The 15,410-nt window shown below is 35.4% G+C and overlaps 2 protein-coding genes across 4 annotated transcripts in view; both read right to left on the bottom strand.

The window, feature by feature from the left end:
• The window catches only part of OR2L13 (olfactory receptor family 2 subfamily L member 13), a 163,987-nt gene that overhangs the window by 57,079 nt on the left and 91,498 nt on the right, over positions 1 to 15,410 (bottom strand). The window lies entirely within an intron of this gene.
• On the bottom strand, positions 1,780 to 14,015 carry OR2L2 (olfactory receptor family 2 subfamily L member 2). Of its 2 annotated transcripts, NM_001385855.1 has the most exons (3): positions 13,850 to 14,015; positions 8,461 to 8,535; positions 1,780 to 5,838 (listed from the first exon to the last, which is right to left on the bottom strand). In NM_001385855.1, exon 3 carries the CDS (start codon positions 5,815 to 5,817, stop codon positions 4,879 to 4,881), a length of 939 nt encoding a protein of 312 aa, NP_001372784.1. In that variant the 5' UTR covers positions 5,818 to 5,838; positions 8,461 to 8,535; positions 13,850 to 14,015; the 3' UTR covers positions 1,780 to 4,878. The 2 variants fall into 2 exon arrangements, with proteins under 2 accessions (NP_001372784.1, NP_001004686.1); NM_001004686.3 differs by lacking the exon at positions 8,461 to 8,535.

Raw genomic sequence — 15,410 nt, 5'->3', positions numbered from 1 at the left:
AGATAGTTTGATATTTCTAGAAAGTTTGGTATTTTGAGCCTTTAGATGTTTACGGCTAAGGAAACAGATTGACAATGTTTACTAAACAGATCCAGACTTGGGAGTGTCCAGATATCCCGACATCCTAAGAACAAAGGCATTCTTAATTTTTCTTTAAAGATAATAATATTGATTCTTGAAAAATATACTAATTAAGAAAATTAATCCTTTATCACAAACCCTAGTAGCAGAGCACATCTCCCCATGCTCTTTTTTATTCTATATATAAACAAGTATTGTACCTAGGGTGGACACGTCCTCCTCTTACTTTCGGGAACGCCCTACTCTGTCTGTGGAGTAGCTGTTCTTTCACACTTTGCCTTCTTAATAAACTTGTTTTTGCTTTGCACTGGGGACCTGCACTGAATTCTTCCTTGTGCAGGATCCATGAACCCTCTTTTGGGGTCTGGATCAGGACCCCTTTCCAGTAAGTTTCACAAACTCTTTCATGTCTAGTCCATCTATCTGCCTCTCTTGCAACTCCATTCAATGTCTGTCCAAATAGGGCCACCGAAATTTGTTGGCCTGCTTGAGAAATACAAAACAAATCATGTCTACTCTTTTCTTCTCCCATGAATATTTCTCCAAGTATCATGCATATAACAAACTTCTCACATATTCCATATCTCCTTCATATCGGCCCATGTAAATAGATAAATCTGTGGCCGTGGGACTGTTGCCTCAACATATAGTGCAGAATTTACTTACCATCCTTTATGTATCTGAACTCTCTTTTGACATGCCTCAGAAAGCAAACATTTCACTGTCTCTGATAGAACTCAAATACTTACTTCTCTACCTGACTTTCAGCTATGGCTATTGTATATAGGTGGAGAGTCTATATTAGATTTTTGGATCCCAGATTTTAACATGGGAATGGGTAGCTCAAAGCAGCAGGGCGGGTGCAAATCCTCAAAGGCTACCTGGACACCGCAGAAATAAATTCACCAAGTTTCTAGGGCTGTGAATGGCACCCAGAAGGAGCAAGAGTGGTGACTTCACAGAACTCATTATCAAGCACATATTGGAAACTGCTCATGGTGGCAGATTTTCAGACCTTACTAGTGTCCATTTTTTGGTGATTTGGCAAGCCTTTGCATCTTCTTAAAATATTATATTTTCTGTTTAATTACGATGAATTTATTTTTGTTGTTTTTAGTTAAGAATCTTAGCTGATAATATCAAATTTCAAATTATATTTTGATTTAGTTTGAAAAACTTTAGTGAAGAGAGGATGAGGATCTGGAGCAAGGCAGTGATTATAAAATATGAGAAAGAGAGTTTTAAAATATTAATGTAGACAAGATTGATAAAATATTATGATTAATTTTATACATTACAATGAAAGAACAAAAGACCTAAGTTAACTTGCAGTTGCTAGATTGTCTCATCATTTTATGTGACATGTGATGGTCTGTGTCCCTCACAGTGAAGTAAGTGCTTGGTAAGCACTTGTCTTTTATTTTATTGTCTTTTTTGCTTGTTTGTTTTTGTTTTTTGTTTTTTTGCAATTTATTTATTTGTTTATTTATTTTTTATTATTGTACTTTAAGTTTTAGGGTACATGTGCACAATGTGCAGGTTATTTACATATGTATACATGAGCCATGCTGCTGCACTGCACCCACTAACTCGTCATCTAGCATTAGGTATATCTCCCAATGCTATCCCTCCCCCCTCCCCCCACCCCACAACAGTCCCCAGAGTGTGATGTTCCCCTTCCTGTGTCCATGTGTTCTCATTGTTCAATTCCCACCTATGAGTGAGAATATGCGGTGTTTGGTTTTTTGTTCTTGTGATAGTTTAGTGAGAATGATGATTTCCAATTTCATCCATGTCCCTACAAAGGACATGAACTCATCATCTTTTATGGCTGCATAGTATTCCATGGTGTATATGTGCCACATTTTCTTAATCCAGTCTATCATCGTTGGACATTTGGGTTGGTTCCAAGTCTTTGCTATTGTGAATAGTGCCGCAATAAACATAGGTGTGCATGTGTCTTTATAGCAGCATGATTTATAGTCCTTTGGTTATATACCCAGTAATGGGATGGTTGGGTCAAATGGTATTTCTAGTTCTAGATCCCTGAGGAATCGCCACACTGACTTCCACAATGGTTGAACTAGTTTACAGTCCCAACAACAGTGTAAAAGTGTTTTCTCCACATCCTCTCCAGCACCTGTTGTTTCCTGACGTTTTAATGATTGCCATTCTAACTGGTGTGAGATGGTATCTCATTGTGGTTTTGATTTGCATTTCTCTGACGGCCAGTAACGGTGAGCATTTTTTCATGTGTTTTTTGGCTGCATAAATGTCTTCTTTTGAGAAGTGTCTGTTCATGTCCTTCACCCACTTTTTGATGGGGTTGTTTGTTTTTTTCTTGTAAGTTTGTTTGAGTTCATTGTAGATTCTGGATATTAGCCCTTTGTCAGATGAGTAGGTTGCAAAAATTTTCTCCCATTCTGTAGGTTGCCTGTTCACTCTGATGGTAGTTTCTTTTGCTGTGCAGAAGCTCTTTAGTTTAATTAGATCTCAATTGTCAATTTTGGCTTTTGTTGCCATTGCTTTTGGTATTTTAGACATGAAGTCCTTGCCCATGCCTATGTCCTGAATGGTAAAGCCTAGGTTTTCTTCTAGGGTTTTTATGGTTTTAGGTCTAACGTTTAAGTCTTTAATCCATCTTGAATTGATTTTTGTATAAGGTGTAAGGAAGGGATCCAGTTTCAGCTTTTTACATATGGCTAGCCAGTTTTCCCAGCACCATTTATTAAATAGGGAATCCTTTCCCCATTGCTTGTTTTTCTCAGGTTTGTCAAAGATCAGATAGTTGTAGATATGCGGCGTTATTTCTGAGGGCTCTGTTCTGTTGCATTGATCTATATTTCTGTTTTGGTACCAGTACCATGCTGTTTTGGTTATTTATGTGAGATTAGGTAAATCTTTCAACATCAGGCAACTACTACCTTTTCTCATATTATTATGACATTCTCATACAGTCCTAATGATGAGAAAATTCTACTTAATTTAAATTAGAGGAGAAGAAAGTCATAAACATTTGCCATTCTATAAGTCAAAATTTAAATTATTCAGTACTCTAGTAAACTCTAAATGCTTAATTGAAATGAGTATATCCAGATCCATATTTGTATCTCCTATTCAAATGTTAATGTTCTTGTTTGAAAATGATTATTCCAATTGTAGTACAGATGACTCTAGGACAACGCGGAAATTAGGGTCACTGACCGCCAAGCAGTAGAATATGCATTTAACTTTGAACTCCCCAAAACCTAACTACTGATATCCTACTATTGACAGCAAGCCTTACAAATAACATAAGCATTCAATTAACACAACTTTGTATCTTATATGTCTTATATACTCTACTCTTACAGTAAAGTGAGCTAAAAAAGAATATCTTATTGAGAAAATCATCAGAAAGAGAAAATATGTTTACTATTTATTTAGGGATAGAGGTTTGTCATAAAGTTCTTCATCATTGTTGTCTTCACGTTGAGTGGGCTGAGGCGGAGGAAGAGGAGGAGAGGTTGTACTTGTTGTCTCAGGAGTGGTGGAGGCAGAACAAAATCCACATATATGTGGACCTGCACAGTTCAAATCTGTGTTGCTCAAGGACCATTCAGTCATTCACCACTGCTGTCACTTGGATAATATGAGGCTCTTCTTACTTGCTCATTCTACCTTCCTTCTTGCCTTCTCTCCTCAGAGATAAAAGAGTCTCTCAGGAATGGGCTCTTCTGGAGAGCAATGGCCTTTCACTCAGAGAATGGACCTAAGCAGATAACCTTTATGAAATAATGTTGATCCTTTTAAGCACATGCCTAAGCAGGTATAAAAATAGTGGAGCAGAGGAGCTGATCCCAATCCAAGCTGAATAGTCCTATTGATTTATGAGAAGAGTAAGTGGAAATAAAATTGTGCAGAAGAGAATGTCTTGCATGAAAATACCCGTGGCAACTGAGGAGGCAAATCTTGAGTGTGTTGTGACGTGACTGGGAAATGATTCAAATAACCTACTCCACACTCCACTAAGTCAACTATAGTCTAAGAGGGTCTATAGACTGTAACTTCTATAGAACTTCTTATACAGAAACTCTTGTTTTTCTAAAGCCAAATTGGCTGCTCCACAAACATAATTATTTATCCTCAGGTAAACTTATTAGTAAAACATTACTTTAAGAAAAAGAAGAAGACATACATACCAGTTGAGAGTAAATAAAAACTATTTAATATTCAATTAGATTCAGTAATTTTAACTAATTTGTTATTTTTGTCTTATTTTTATAATAATGGGAGATAAACAACTATTATGTAATTATTATGCTGAATGATATGATTAGTTTGGACCTTTATTGTTTTGATTTCTACATGTTAATGAAACCCTGTTGCCCACAATTTAGTAGAAAATATATGACCTATATTTGATTAAAAAAAAAACAGGCAGGGCATGGTGGCTCACACCTGTAATCGCAGCTAACTTAGGAGGCTAGGCAGGAGAATCGCTTGAACCCAGGAGGCAGAGGTTATGGGGAGCTGAGATTGCGCCATTGCATTAGAGCCTGGGCAACAAGAGCCAAAATCCATTAAAAAGACAAACAAACAAACAAACAAAAACCACACACAAACAAAATCAAAATAGATGTCTTAGAATATGTATTAATATGTATTATAATATTGTCAAGACTAAATTAAAAGACAAATTTCTTCTAGATTAACTTCTGTTTGACACACTGGGCATGTAATAATGTTTTTCTTCACTGCTGTACACTACTAAGTTGATATGAACCTAGCGCTTTGACTCTAACACAGAACGTATGTCTACATTTTCACTGAGAAGATTTTCTGAATCACTTGTGTCAGGGCCCCCATCACCTCCTTGTTTCTCAGGCTGTAGATGATGGGGTTGAGCATTGGGGTGAGGATGGTGTAGAAAACAGCCAGAATCTTGTCCTCTGTTGGAGATCGCAGGGATCTTGGACGTACATAGGTATAAGCAAAGGGTGCATAGTAGAAGGACACTACAGTGAGGTGGGTGCTACAGGTTGAATAGGCCTTCTTCCTCCCTTCTGCAGAGTGCATGCGGTAGACAGCAAGGAGAACCCGGCCATAGGAACATGCAATACCAGTGAAAGGAAGCACAAGAAAGATGGTGCTGCTCAAAAACACTGTGCTCTCATAGACCCAAGTGTCTGTGCAGGCTAGCGTCAACATAGCTGGAACATCACAGAAAAAATGATTGATGGCTCTGGACTTGCAATATGGGATACAGAGTGCATATACTGTGTGAGCACAAGAGTTGATAGAGCTTATCATCCAAGATCCTGTTATCATCATCACACACACTCTTTTGCTTATACGGATGGGATAGTGGAGAGGAAAGCAAATGGCCACATAACGATCATAGGCCATTGATGTCAGGAGCAGCCCTTCTGCAACTGCTAAAGTCAAGAAGAAGAAACTCTGAATCCCACATCCAGTGAAGGAGATAGACTTGTTTCCATACAGAAAATCATAAACCATCTTTGGAACAATGGTGGAGATGTAATTTAGGTCAATGAGGGAGAGCTGACTAAGTAGGAAATACATAGGTGTGTGGAGATGGATGTCCAAAAAGATGAGAAGAATCATGGATAGATTTCCAATTAGAGCCATTAGGAAAATGAGAAAAATGAGGGTGAATACGAAAAGGCCAATTCTTGATTGTGGGAACAGCCCCAATAAGATGAAATCAGTTGATGTTTGATTGTAATTTTCCATGGGGAATTCCTACAATCCATCCTGAAGGGAGACAAAAGGGTAAATTAAGAACAGTAATTCACTTTTATCCACAGTGGCTGCATTACAAGACTCCCAGTGGATGCCTGAAACTGGGGTTGATACTGAACCCTATATAAACTATTTTTATATCCATAAATGCATATTATAAACTTTAATTTATAAATTAGGCAAGGAAGAGATTAACAAAAATAACTACAAATAAAATAGAACAATTACAACTATATACTGTAATAAAACTTATGTGAATGCAATCTATATTTTTCTTTCTTTCAAACCATCATATTGAAAAAGTGCTCATTTTTCTTGTGATGACAAAATGCTTCATGGGAAATCAAAATGTCTACATGATGACATAAAGTGAGGAGAACAAGGTAGGCACTGTGATGTGACGTTGGGCTATGACTGAAAACCAATTGAAAATTTATGAAGTGTTCATTTGTGGACTTTTCCATGCAATATTTTCAGACCGCATTTGATTACAGGAGAAACCACGGAAAGCAAAACAGTGAATGAGAGGGGACTACTTATAGAATAGTAAGCCAATTGTTTTTAAAAATCCTTAGTTTAGTAAGGCTGTGAATTATTTATAGAACTTTACAACACTTAAATGATGAACTCATTTATTCTATTTAGAAAAAAATTATTTTCTTACACAGAGATTAATATTTGATGAGACAAATATTTATAACCAAAGTTTTTCTAAGAAATATATACATTTATAGGAAAAATCATTTGTCTTACAACTTCAAAAAGATATGAATGTTTGATGCCCAACACAATCTCAGATGCCATTAAGATCATGTGCTATGCTTAAAACATACGCATGGGAAGGTAAATTAAATGCATATGCTATGGATCCATATTATGAATAAATTAGCATTACTTTTTCTGGATGATTTTTCTCACTAAATTTATTCTTTAAGACTTACTTGTAGAACTGCAGCAGCCTATGATTCATTTGGAGGAACTTATATTTCCTTCTTGAATTGTCTTTGCATAATAATTTGAAGTCAAACTTTCTCTAAGTTAGACATCATTATTTGGTTCTTCTACTTAAAAATGTAGAATGAATTGTTATTTTAAGTACCTTTTTCATGAAATGTAATTCATAGTCTTGATTTTGAATGTCCACCACCATCAAATGTCCATTCTCTTTTGCCTTCTCATCCAATTTCTGAATTCTCAAGTTAATGCAGACTCTCTATCTCAATATCTATATGCCAAGTTCATTTTAGCTTCCATGTCTCTGCTCAAGCTCTCCCCGTATACGATGTATATTCTGTGTCTTTGCTTCCCTCATGCTTAGATTACATAGACTTTAGGGATCCTCCCATTCATATGAAGGGATCATAAGTATATTTATCAATTTTTTGTTAAGATCCATAAAGTATAATGTAATCTAAGCATTAGGGAAGCAAAAACAATAAATCACTTTACATCTTCAAAAGACAGGATTTGGAGAAATGACCATTCACTTAAATGGAAAAAAGGAAACAGCAACCTGACAGTTTTCTGGGTAGAGGTGGTTCGAGTATTCTTCTCCAGATAGAAGACATCACTGGACAACTTTGCACAGGATACATAAAAGGAATGAAGTTTTTAGGCTTGAAAATTATTTTAGAGCCAAAGGTCAGCCGACCTTTGAGGAAGTGTAACAATATGAAAGAGTAAGATCTACACAGTGTGCAAACTCACATCTATACACACACACACAAAGATGAACACTCACTTAAGGATCAATACACGTGTATGTACACTGAGTTAAAACTATCACAAACCTGCAAAAAGAGTGAGTTTTTAAAATTAAGAATTCCTATTTTCAGGAATGAAGATGTCTATGATATGTTATAAAATCCACCAAATAAATATCATTAGCTATATGCAAGGATGTGAAATGTAACAATAAATGACTCTTTGAAATTAAAGATACAATAATTGATACCGCATTAAATGAAAGTTTCAAAATACGAAAGTGAAAAATCTATCAGAAGGAAAAAAAAACTGAAAAGATTAGAAGAGACAAAAATATTAGAAAATTAATGCAACAGGACCAACATATACTTACAGGCATTCCCAGAAATGCACATAGCAAATAATAATAAACTCAATACCATACAAAAATTCTCAGAACTGGAATATATTAGCCACCATATTCAGATGGCATGTAAAATCACAAAGTAAGTGAGAAATATTTTTAGTAAAATATTTCATGAAAATTCTGTCTTCTAGAAAACATTCTAAAAATTTTAATTATAAGTTTTTGAGAGAAATAGTAGTAATAATAATCAGAAGAAATCTATGTATATATGTATCACCATCAGGATTTACAAGAGTATATATTTTATGTATTTAATCAATAAATTTCATAAGAGGAGATGATGCTGTCAACCCCTTACTGCAGATATAAAGTGGAATGTAATTATGTTGACAGAATGGGAGAAAGGTAATGAGTGTGGGGGTAGTGATGTTGGGGGAAGCAGGTCACTATTGACTGTGGCCTATGTCATGAGTCAAGGGCTGGTATTTGGGGTATATAAATCAAGCATTAGCAGATAAGCATATTGTTTGAAAATACATGGACAAAAATAGGGAAAAACTGGTAAGAAAATTTGAAGTCCTTACCTTTGGGTTCAGGAAGGGTCTGTTATGGGTCCAATATTTTAGCCTGTGGACTGTTGTCACCATGTCTACGCATTACTTGAATAAAACATTAAAGTGATGTAAAAATTATGTCACAGTTAAGAATTTAACCCACAGCTTCATCATAATATGAGACTGACACTTTTTTTTTTCTTTTTGAGATGGAGTCTCGCTCTGTCACCCAGGCTGGAGTGCAGTGGCGCGATCTCGGCTCACTGCAAGCTCCGCCTCCCAGGTTCACTCCATTCTCCTGCCTCAGCCTCTCAAGTAGCTGGGACTACAGGCACCTGCCACCAAGCTGGCTAAATTTTTGTATTTTTAGTAGAGACGGGGTTTCACCGTGTTAGCCAGGATGGTCTCGATCTCCTGACCTCGTGATCCGCCCATCTCGGCCTCCCAAAGTACTGGGATTACAGGCATGAGCCACCGTGCCTGGCCAAGAGTGACACTTTTTAGTCTAAGATTTGGAGAAAGACAAAAATGTCCACTTTCACGGCATCTATTCAGCATATTACTGGAAGTTCAGCCAAAGCGATTGAACAAAAAAAAAAAAAAAGGGAAAGATAAATATGTTATCTTAATTCAAAAGAAAGAAGTGAAATAATTTTTATTTGTTTATGACATAACTATATGTGTAGAAAACCTTAGGACTCCACGCAAAGAAAACTGTTATAAATAATTAACACAATAAGCAAAATTGCAGCATGCAACATCAACAGCCAAAACCTTTTGCACTCCTATACACCCACAATTTGCTGTGACTCACAGAAAGTGTCAGAAGCAAAATTGTCTGTTCTGAACCTAGGCTTCAAGTGGCTATACACTAACAATAAACAATCTAAAAATGAGATTGTGATTTTATTTACAATAGTATCAGAAAGAAACGAAACACTTAAGGATTAAACCTAACCAAGGAAGTAAAAGGCTTATATATTGAAAAATGACAAAATGCTGATTAGAACAATCAAAGAAGACACAGATAAATGGAAATACATTCTGTATTTATAGACTGGAAGGCTTAACACTGTTAAGATGTCAAGAATATCCAAAGTCACTTAAAGATTCAATGGAATCTATGAAAATTCTAATGATAAATCTTTTTCAGAAATAGAAAAACCATGCTAAAATTTCTATGGAATTTCAAAGGACCTTAAATAGTCGAAAAATCTGGAAAACGTTTTTTTAAGGACAAAATTGAAAAACTGATACTTTCTGATTTTAAAACTTACCAAACGCCTCCAGATTTGTTTTTTTCACTTAGTCTTGCTTTGGCTATGCAGACTCTTTTTGGTTCCATATGAATTTGAGAATTGTCTGTGAAGAATGATGGTGGTATTTTGATGGGAATTACATTGAATTTGTAGGTTGTTTTGGCAATATGGTCATTTTCACAATATTGATTCTACCTATCCATGAGCATGGTACGTGTTTCCATAGGTTTGTTTCGTCTATGATTTCTTTCAGCAGTGTTTTGTAGTTTTCCTTATAGAGTTCTCTCACCTCCTTGGTTAGGTATATTCCTAAGCAGTTTATTATTTGCAGCTGATTTGTGAACATTAATTTTGTATCCTGAAACTTGGCTGAATTCTTTTATCAGTTTTAGAAGTTTTCTGGAGAAGGCTTTAGAGTTTTCTAGGTAAACAATCATATTATAAGCAAAGAGGGACAGTTTGGCTTCCTCTTTACTGATTTGGATGCCCTTTATTTCATTCTCTTTCTGACTGCTGTGGCTAGGACTTCCAATACTATGTTGAAGAGGTAAGAGTGAGCATCCTTGAATTTTTCCACTTCCAAGAACTACAGAAATCAAAACAGTATGACATTGGTATAAAGCCAGACATGTATAACAATAGAAGAAAAGAGAGGACAGGTGCCATGGCTCACACCTGAAATCCCAGCACTTTGGGAGGCTAAGGCAGGCAGAATTGCTTGAGCTCAGAACATTGAGACCAGCCAGTAAAACATGGTAAAATCCTGTCTGTACAAAAAAAAAAAAACAAAAATTAGCCAGGTGTGGTGGCTCGCACCAGTAGTCCCATCTACTTGGGGGCTTGAGATGGGAGGGTTGCTTGAGCCCAGGAGGCAGAGGTTGCAGTGAGCCAAGATCACACCACCACATTCCAACCTGTGTGACAGAGTGAGACCCTGTTTCAAAAAAAAATGAAGGAGAAGAAGAAGAAGAAATAGAAAACAGAGTCAAGAAATAGACTGTCATATACACAGCAATATTTTTTTGGCAAGCAAACCAAGTTTACTCAATGTGGAAGGGACAGTCTTTTCAACAAACGGTGTTTGAAAAACTAGATATCTACATTCAAAATATTGAAATTGGATGCTTACTTTACACCATATAGAAAAATTAAGTCAAAATAAATCAAAGACCTAAGTGTAAGAGCTAAAACCATAAAAGTATAGTCAGTGGCAAAATGAAATTGTACAGCCTCTGTGGAAAATGATTGAGAGGCTTCTCGATTTATGATGGGTTTCATCCTGATAAACCCATTATGAAAATATTATAAGTAAAATATACATTTACTATCCTGAAAAAGTCATCTCAATGTTAAAATATTGTAAGTCAAACCATTGTAATTCCAGATGCTCCTTGATTTACAATAGGGTTTTATGTTTTTATAAATGCATAGTAAAGACAAAAAGTTGTCAAATTATTGTGTTTCTGGACCATCTGTATAGTAATTTCTTCAAAAATTAAACAGAGTTAGTATAGGTTCCAACTATTTCACTTCTGAATGTGGACCCACAGAAACAAGACACACAAAAACATACTTATATGCCCACGTTCACAGCAGCAGTATTCACAATACCCCAAAGGCAGAGACAACTTAAGTGTCCATCCACAGAGAAATCAATAAAAAATGTAATGAGTACATACAATGGAATATTATTCAGTTTTTAAAATGAAAGAAATTTTGACACATGCTACAACATAGATGAAACTTGATTACATTATGCTAAGCAAAATAAGCCAGAAACAGGCAAGTATTGTATGAATTTATGTACAGGAAGTACCCAGAGTAGTCAAATTTATAGAGACAGAAAGTAGAATGCTGGACCCCTGGGGATGGGGGAAGGGAGTCAAGGAGAATAATTGTGTAGAGAACAAAATTTTAGTTGGAGACAATGAAACTATTCTGGAGATGACTGGTGGGGATGGTTGCAGAACAATATAAATATACTTAGTGCCACAGACCTGAACACTTAAAATAGTTTAAATGGTGCAGTTTATCTTATGTATATTTAATACATGAGATAATATGTATTATCTCATGTATGAAATAAGAAATAAAAAATAATAAAAACATTTAAATATACTGAAATTATTCCATATTTGGATGTCCAAATACATTTTAAGAAAATTCAGGCAAGTTTCTGAGCCTCTACAGAGCAATTTATTTTCAATTATTTTATGACCTCTGGTTATTTGTGAGGGACAATTTAGAAGAACAAATTACTTTTTATACATGTCATTTGGAAACAATATGTGATCAGCATTAAGACTGATGCAATAGTTTGAATTTATATTAGTAGTTTAATTATTGGCAATTAGAATATGTACTATTTGAAATTACTAACACAATTAACATTCCAAACATTTCTATTATTTGTATTTTATATAGGGCAGTCGATGACAAACTTTCCATGAGAGTTATTATCCTACTTTTAAAAAGAGGAAAAGTAATATATGTCAGAATATTAAATGACACATCAGATCTCATATGTAATGCCATATTATAACTGAGTACCCTATTTTTAAAAAAGAAAAATAACAAATTTATTTTTCCGATCTCCCCCTACCTCTTACTTAACTGTTTAGGAATGCAAATCTATCCTTTACACTCTCCACCAGACACATTCTACAAGGCAAGCTTATTTGACTTTGTGTTTACTTAAAAGTTCTAGAGAAGGAACCTTGAAGAAAATCAGGCACCCCAAAAACTCCCTCCCACTAGGAGATTGCCTCAATTTACAGCCCAGCTCTGCCTGCGGTGGTGCCAGCCAGACCATTGGATAGAAAATACATCAGAAGCAAGTCACTGGACCCCATCTCCTCACCCCCTGCATGTCATTCACACCAAGACCCCATTAAAAGACCCTGCCTACTGCCCCAGAAGGGGAAGCACTGCCCATTAAGGCAGAAGCCTGTCCTGCTTCCCCTCAGCTAAGCTTGGAAGAAAAAGTCTTTCTTTCTACCAGACCTTGCTCTTGTTAACAGGACTTTACAAGTGCTGAGGGGCAGGAGATGTGTTCTGCGATGTTACAATATCTCATGAACACCAATGTAGCATCTCTTTGATTATTCATGTTCCAAGGCTCTAATTCTACCATATAATATTATTGTTAGAAAAAATAGAGCCCTGTCCCTAATGAGAAAGCAGTCTCAGCCATTATATATCTGTTTCAGTAATGCAAAGAGGATATTTATTATACATCTGTTTCAGTAATGTGAAGAGGACATTTTTTTCTTATGTAAAAATAAATCCACGTGGGTTCTGTCCCTTAGTTTTTTATCCACCAAAATAGCAACAAATATTTTAAGCCTATTTAAAAACATTTCTACTTGCTTTCATTTTTGTAACTCTCCTAAAATGTATATACCTAGGCATCAGCATTAATGATGTTATACACAGGAGGAAAAAGAGAGCAGAAAAATTTCTGAGGATATTTTCATCACAAGTAGAAAAACCAGCCTTCAACCCCAGTGATGTCCTACATGAATGGAATGATACCAGCATGAACTTTTATTGACTATCTCCACACACTGGCACGTGCAATATGTCAGGATTGTTCCGTGATTCCATTGGTTTTAATCCTAATAAAAAGCTCTTTACATTGACATCACCACCGACATCTTAGATGACAAAAATTGAGATTCAGAGTTTGTAAGCGAACTTCTCTAGATCACAAAGTAAGAAGCAGCATTAAGATTATAATGAGCATCGTACAATCGCACATCACTCATGGCAAAAGAAATCAAACCAAAACAAAACAAAACACCAACCAAGTAGGTACAAGGAAATGTTACCCCTTACAATAATTATTGTGAATGTGGGTTCTTTAATTTCACTTGAGCCCATGAAAGCATAGTCTAATATAATGTATCCCTGTCTCTTCCATTGACCATCATTTCCCTTCCCCTCCAGAAAACACATTTATGAATTAGTTGCAAAATCACTTTTGGTTGCCTGCATTTCATACTCCAATATTTCTGCTGAATGGTGTTAGAGAAAGTACAGTCATTAGTGCTGAAATTCACCTCAATTCTATTTCTGAAACAAAGTCCTCTTAAGCACTTGCCAGAGTCCCTTCTTCGCTGTGATCAATAAAAATTTAAAAATACAATTATAATTAGTACCTTTATTATTTCCTCATTTCCAAACACTCAGTGCCTTTGCTTAGCTGACGGCAGTCCTACAGTCATCATAGGAACAAATTCATTTTTCTGAGTAAGCATTAAGAATATTGCTTAAAGAAATGCATATATTCATTTTTCTTCCCTACACACGAGATTTCAGAGACCTTCATTGGAATTCAGTAGCAACCATGAATCCAGTCCTTTTTAGCTGGAGAATGAGATTAACAGTTGTTTTGCTGGTATTCACTGGGGATTGTCCACTGAGACTTTGGACATTCTAGGTTGAGTCACTAACAACAGAGGATGGCCTTAATTCAAGGTTCAGAAATGAGTTCTGATTATGTATTTAGATGTTTCAAGGCATGTCAAGGGTAAATTCAATGGAGGAAGAAACAAACATATTTATTCACATTATGTCAATGTTTTCGTGTTTCTAAACTTTATGAAACCCTATAGTTTGAATGTTGTTATTTAGGCATCCACAGTAATAATGAATCTGCATACATTAATTTCTTTCTGAGTTCAATTTATATTGGCAACAAGATTTAAGCCACTAAAATAGAACGAGGTTAATTTAATAAAACCACATAAGTAGAAATTATTAAGCTATCACATACATGGGAGTTATCTTTTAACATATTTTAGGTATTATATATGTTCACACTGGTTCTTTGTATTTGGAAATGCTCAGTAAATTATACAGTGATTTTTCTCCTATTAAAACAGATAATAAAATGTTGTTATTACTCTCTTTGGTTTATTAATATTTAGAAAATAGTAATTTAATTAAATTTTTATTCAGTAGAGTGCTTTAAATGTTCTCAAATTTCTTATTTTCTTACTAAATGAATTAATGATACAATCTACCTGAGAAAAGTAATATTTCTTCATTTTTAATTTTGTTGAGTTTTAAAAGTATTTGAATTTTTCCACATGTATTTAAATTGTTAAATTATTTGACACATTATGATATGTATTTTTATTTATATTTATTGTGATATATATTTTGATATGTATAGGCTAGTCAGATGAAGCAGTGGGAGTGGAGAAGAAACCAAGAAACCTCTAACTGGTTGTGATCAATTAGTTGTAAACACCACTACACTTGGACCAGCCAATCTGATGTACTGATGCATATATATGTTGTATAATGATCCAGTCGGGGTAGTTAGTGTACATTCCTGGCAAGGACAATTTCCTGAAAGTCCAAGTGTACCGATGTTTCAATATTCCTGCATTTGAAAAGTCGAAGAATTTTTTTGCAAGTTTAAAACCTTGGCTGTTACATAATAGTATGCGCCATGTCTAGTGCAACCACGGTACTGTTTTCACAGTTTTGTTAAACTCAAAACCTATATGTGCTGAAAGAGGAGGTAAGACTCCTTATTTGATGTGGGAAGATAGACTTCAAGGGAATTTCTGTAAAACAAGGAAGACTTTTAGGTTTACCTCAAAACTACCCACCAGGGTCACATCACATATGCAAATATGGGGGATATGAGTCAACAACTTATTCCTGAAATACATATCCCAGATCTCCTGAGAGTTTCCTGGACGTAGA

This window comes from Homo sapiens, chromosome 1 (assembly GCF_000001405.40).
Source record: "Homo sapiens chromosome 1, GRCh38.p14 Primary Assembly".
Classification (NCBI taxonomy): Eukaryota; Metazoa; Chordata; class Mammalia; order Primates; family Hominidae; genus Homo; species Homo sapiens.
This window is presented reverse-complemented; position numbering and strand designations above follow the sequence as displayed.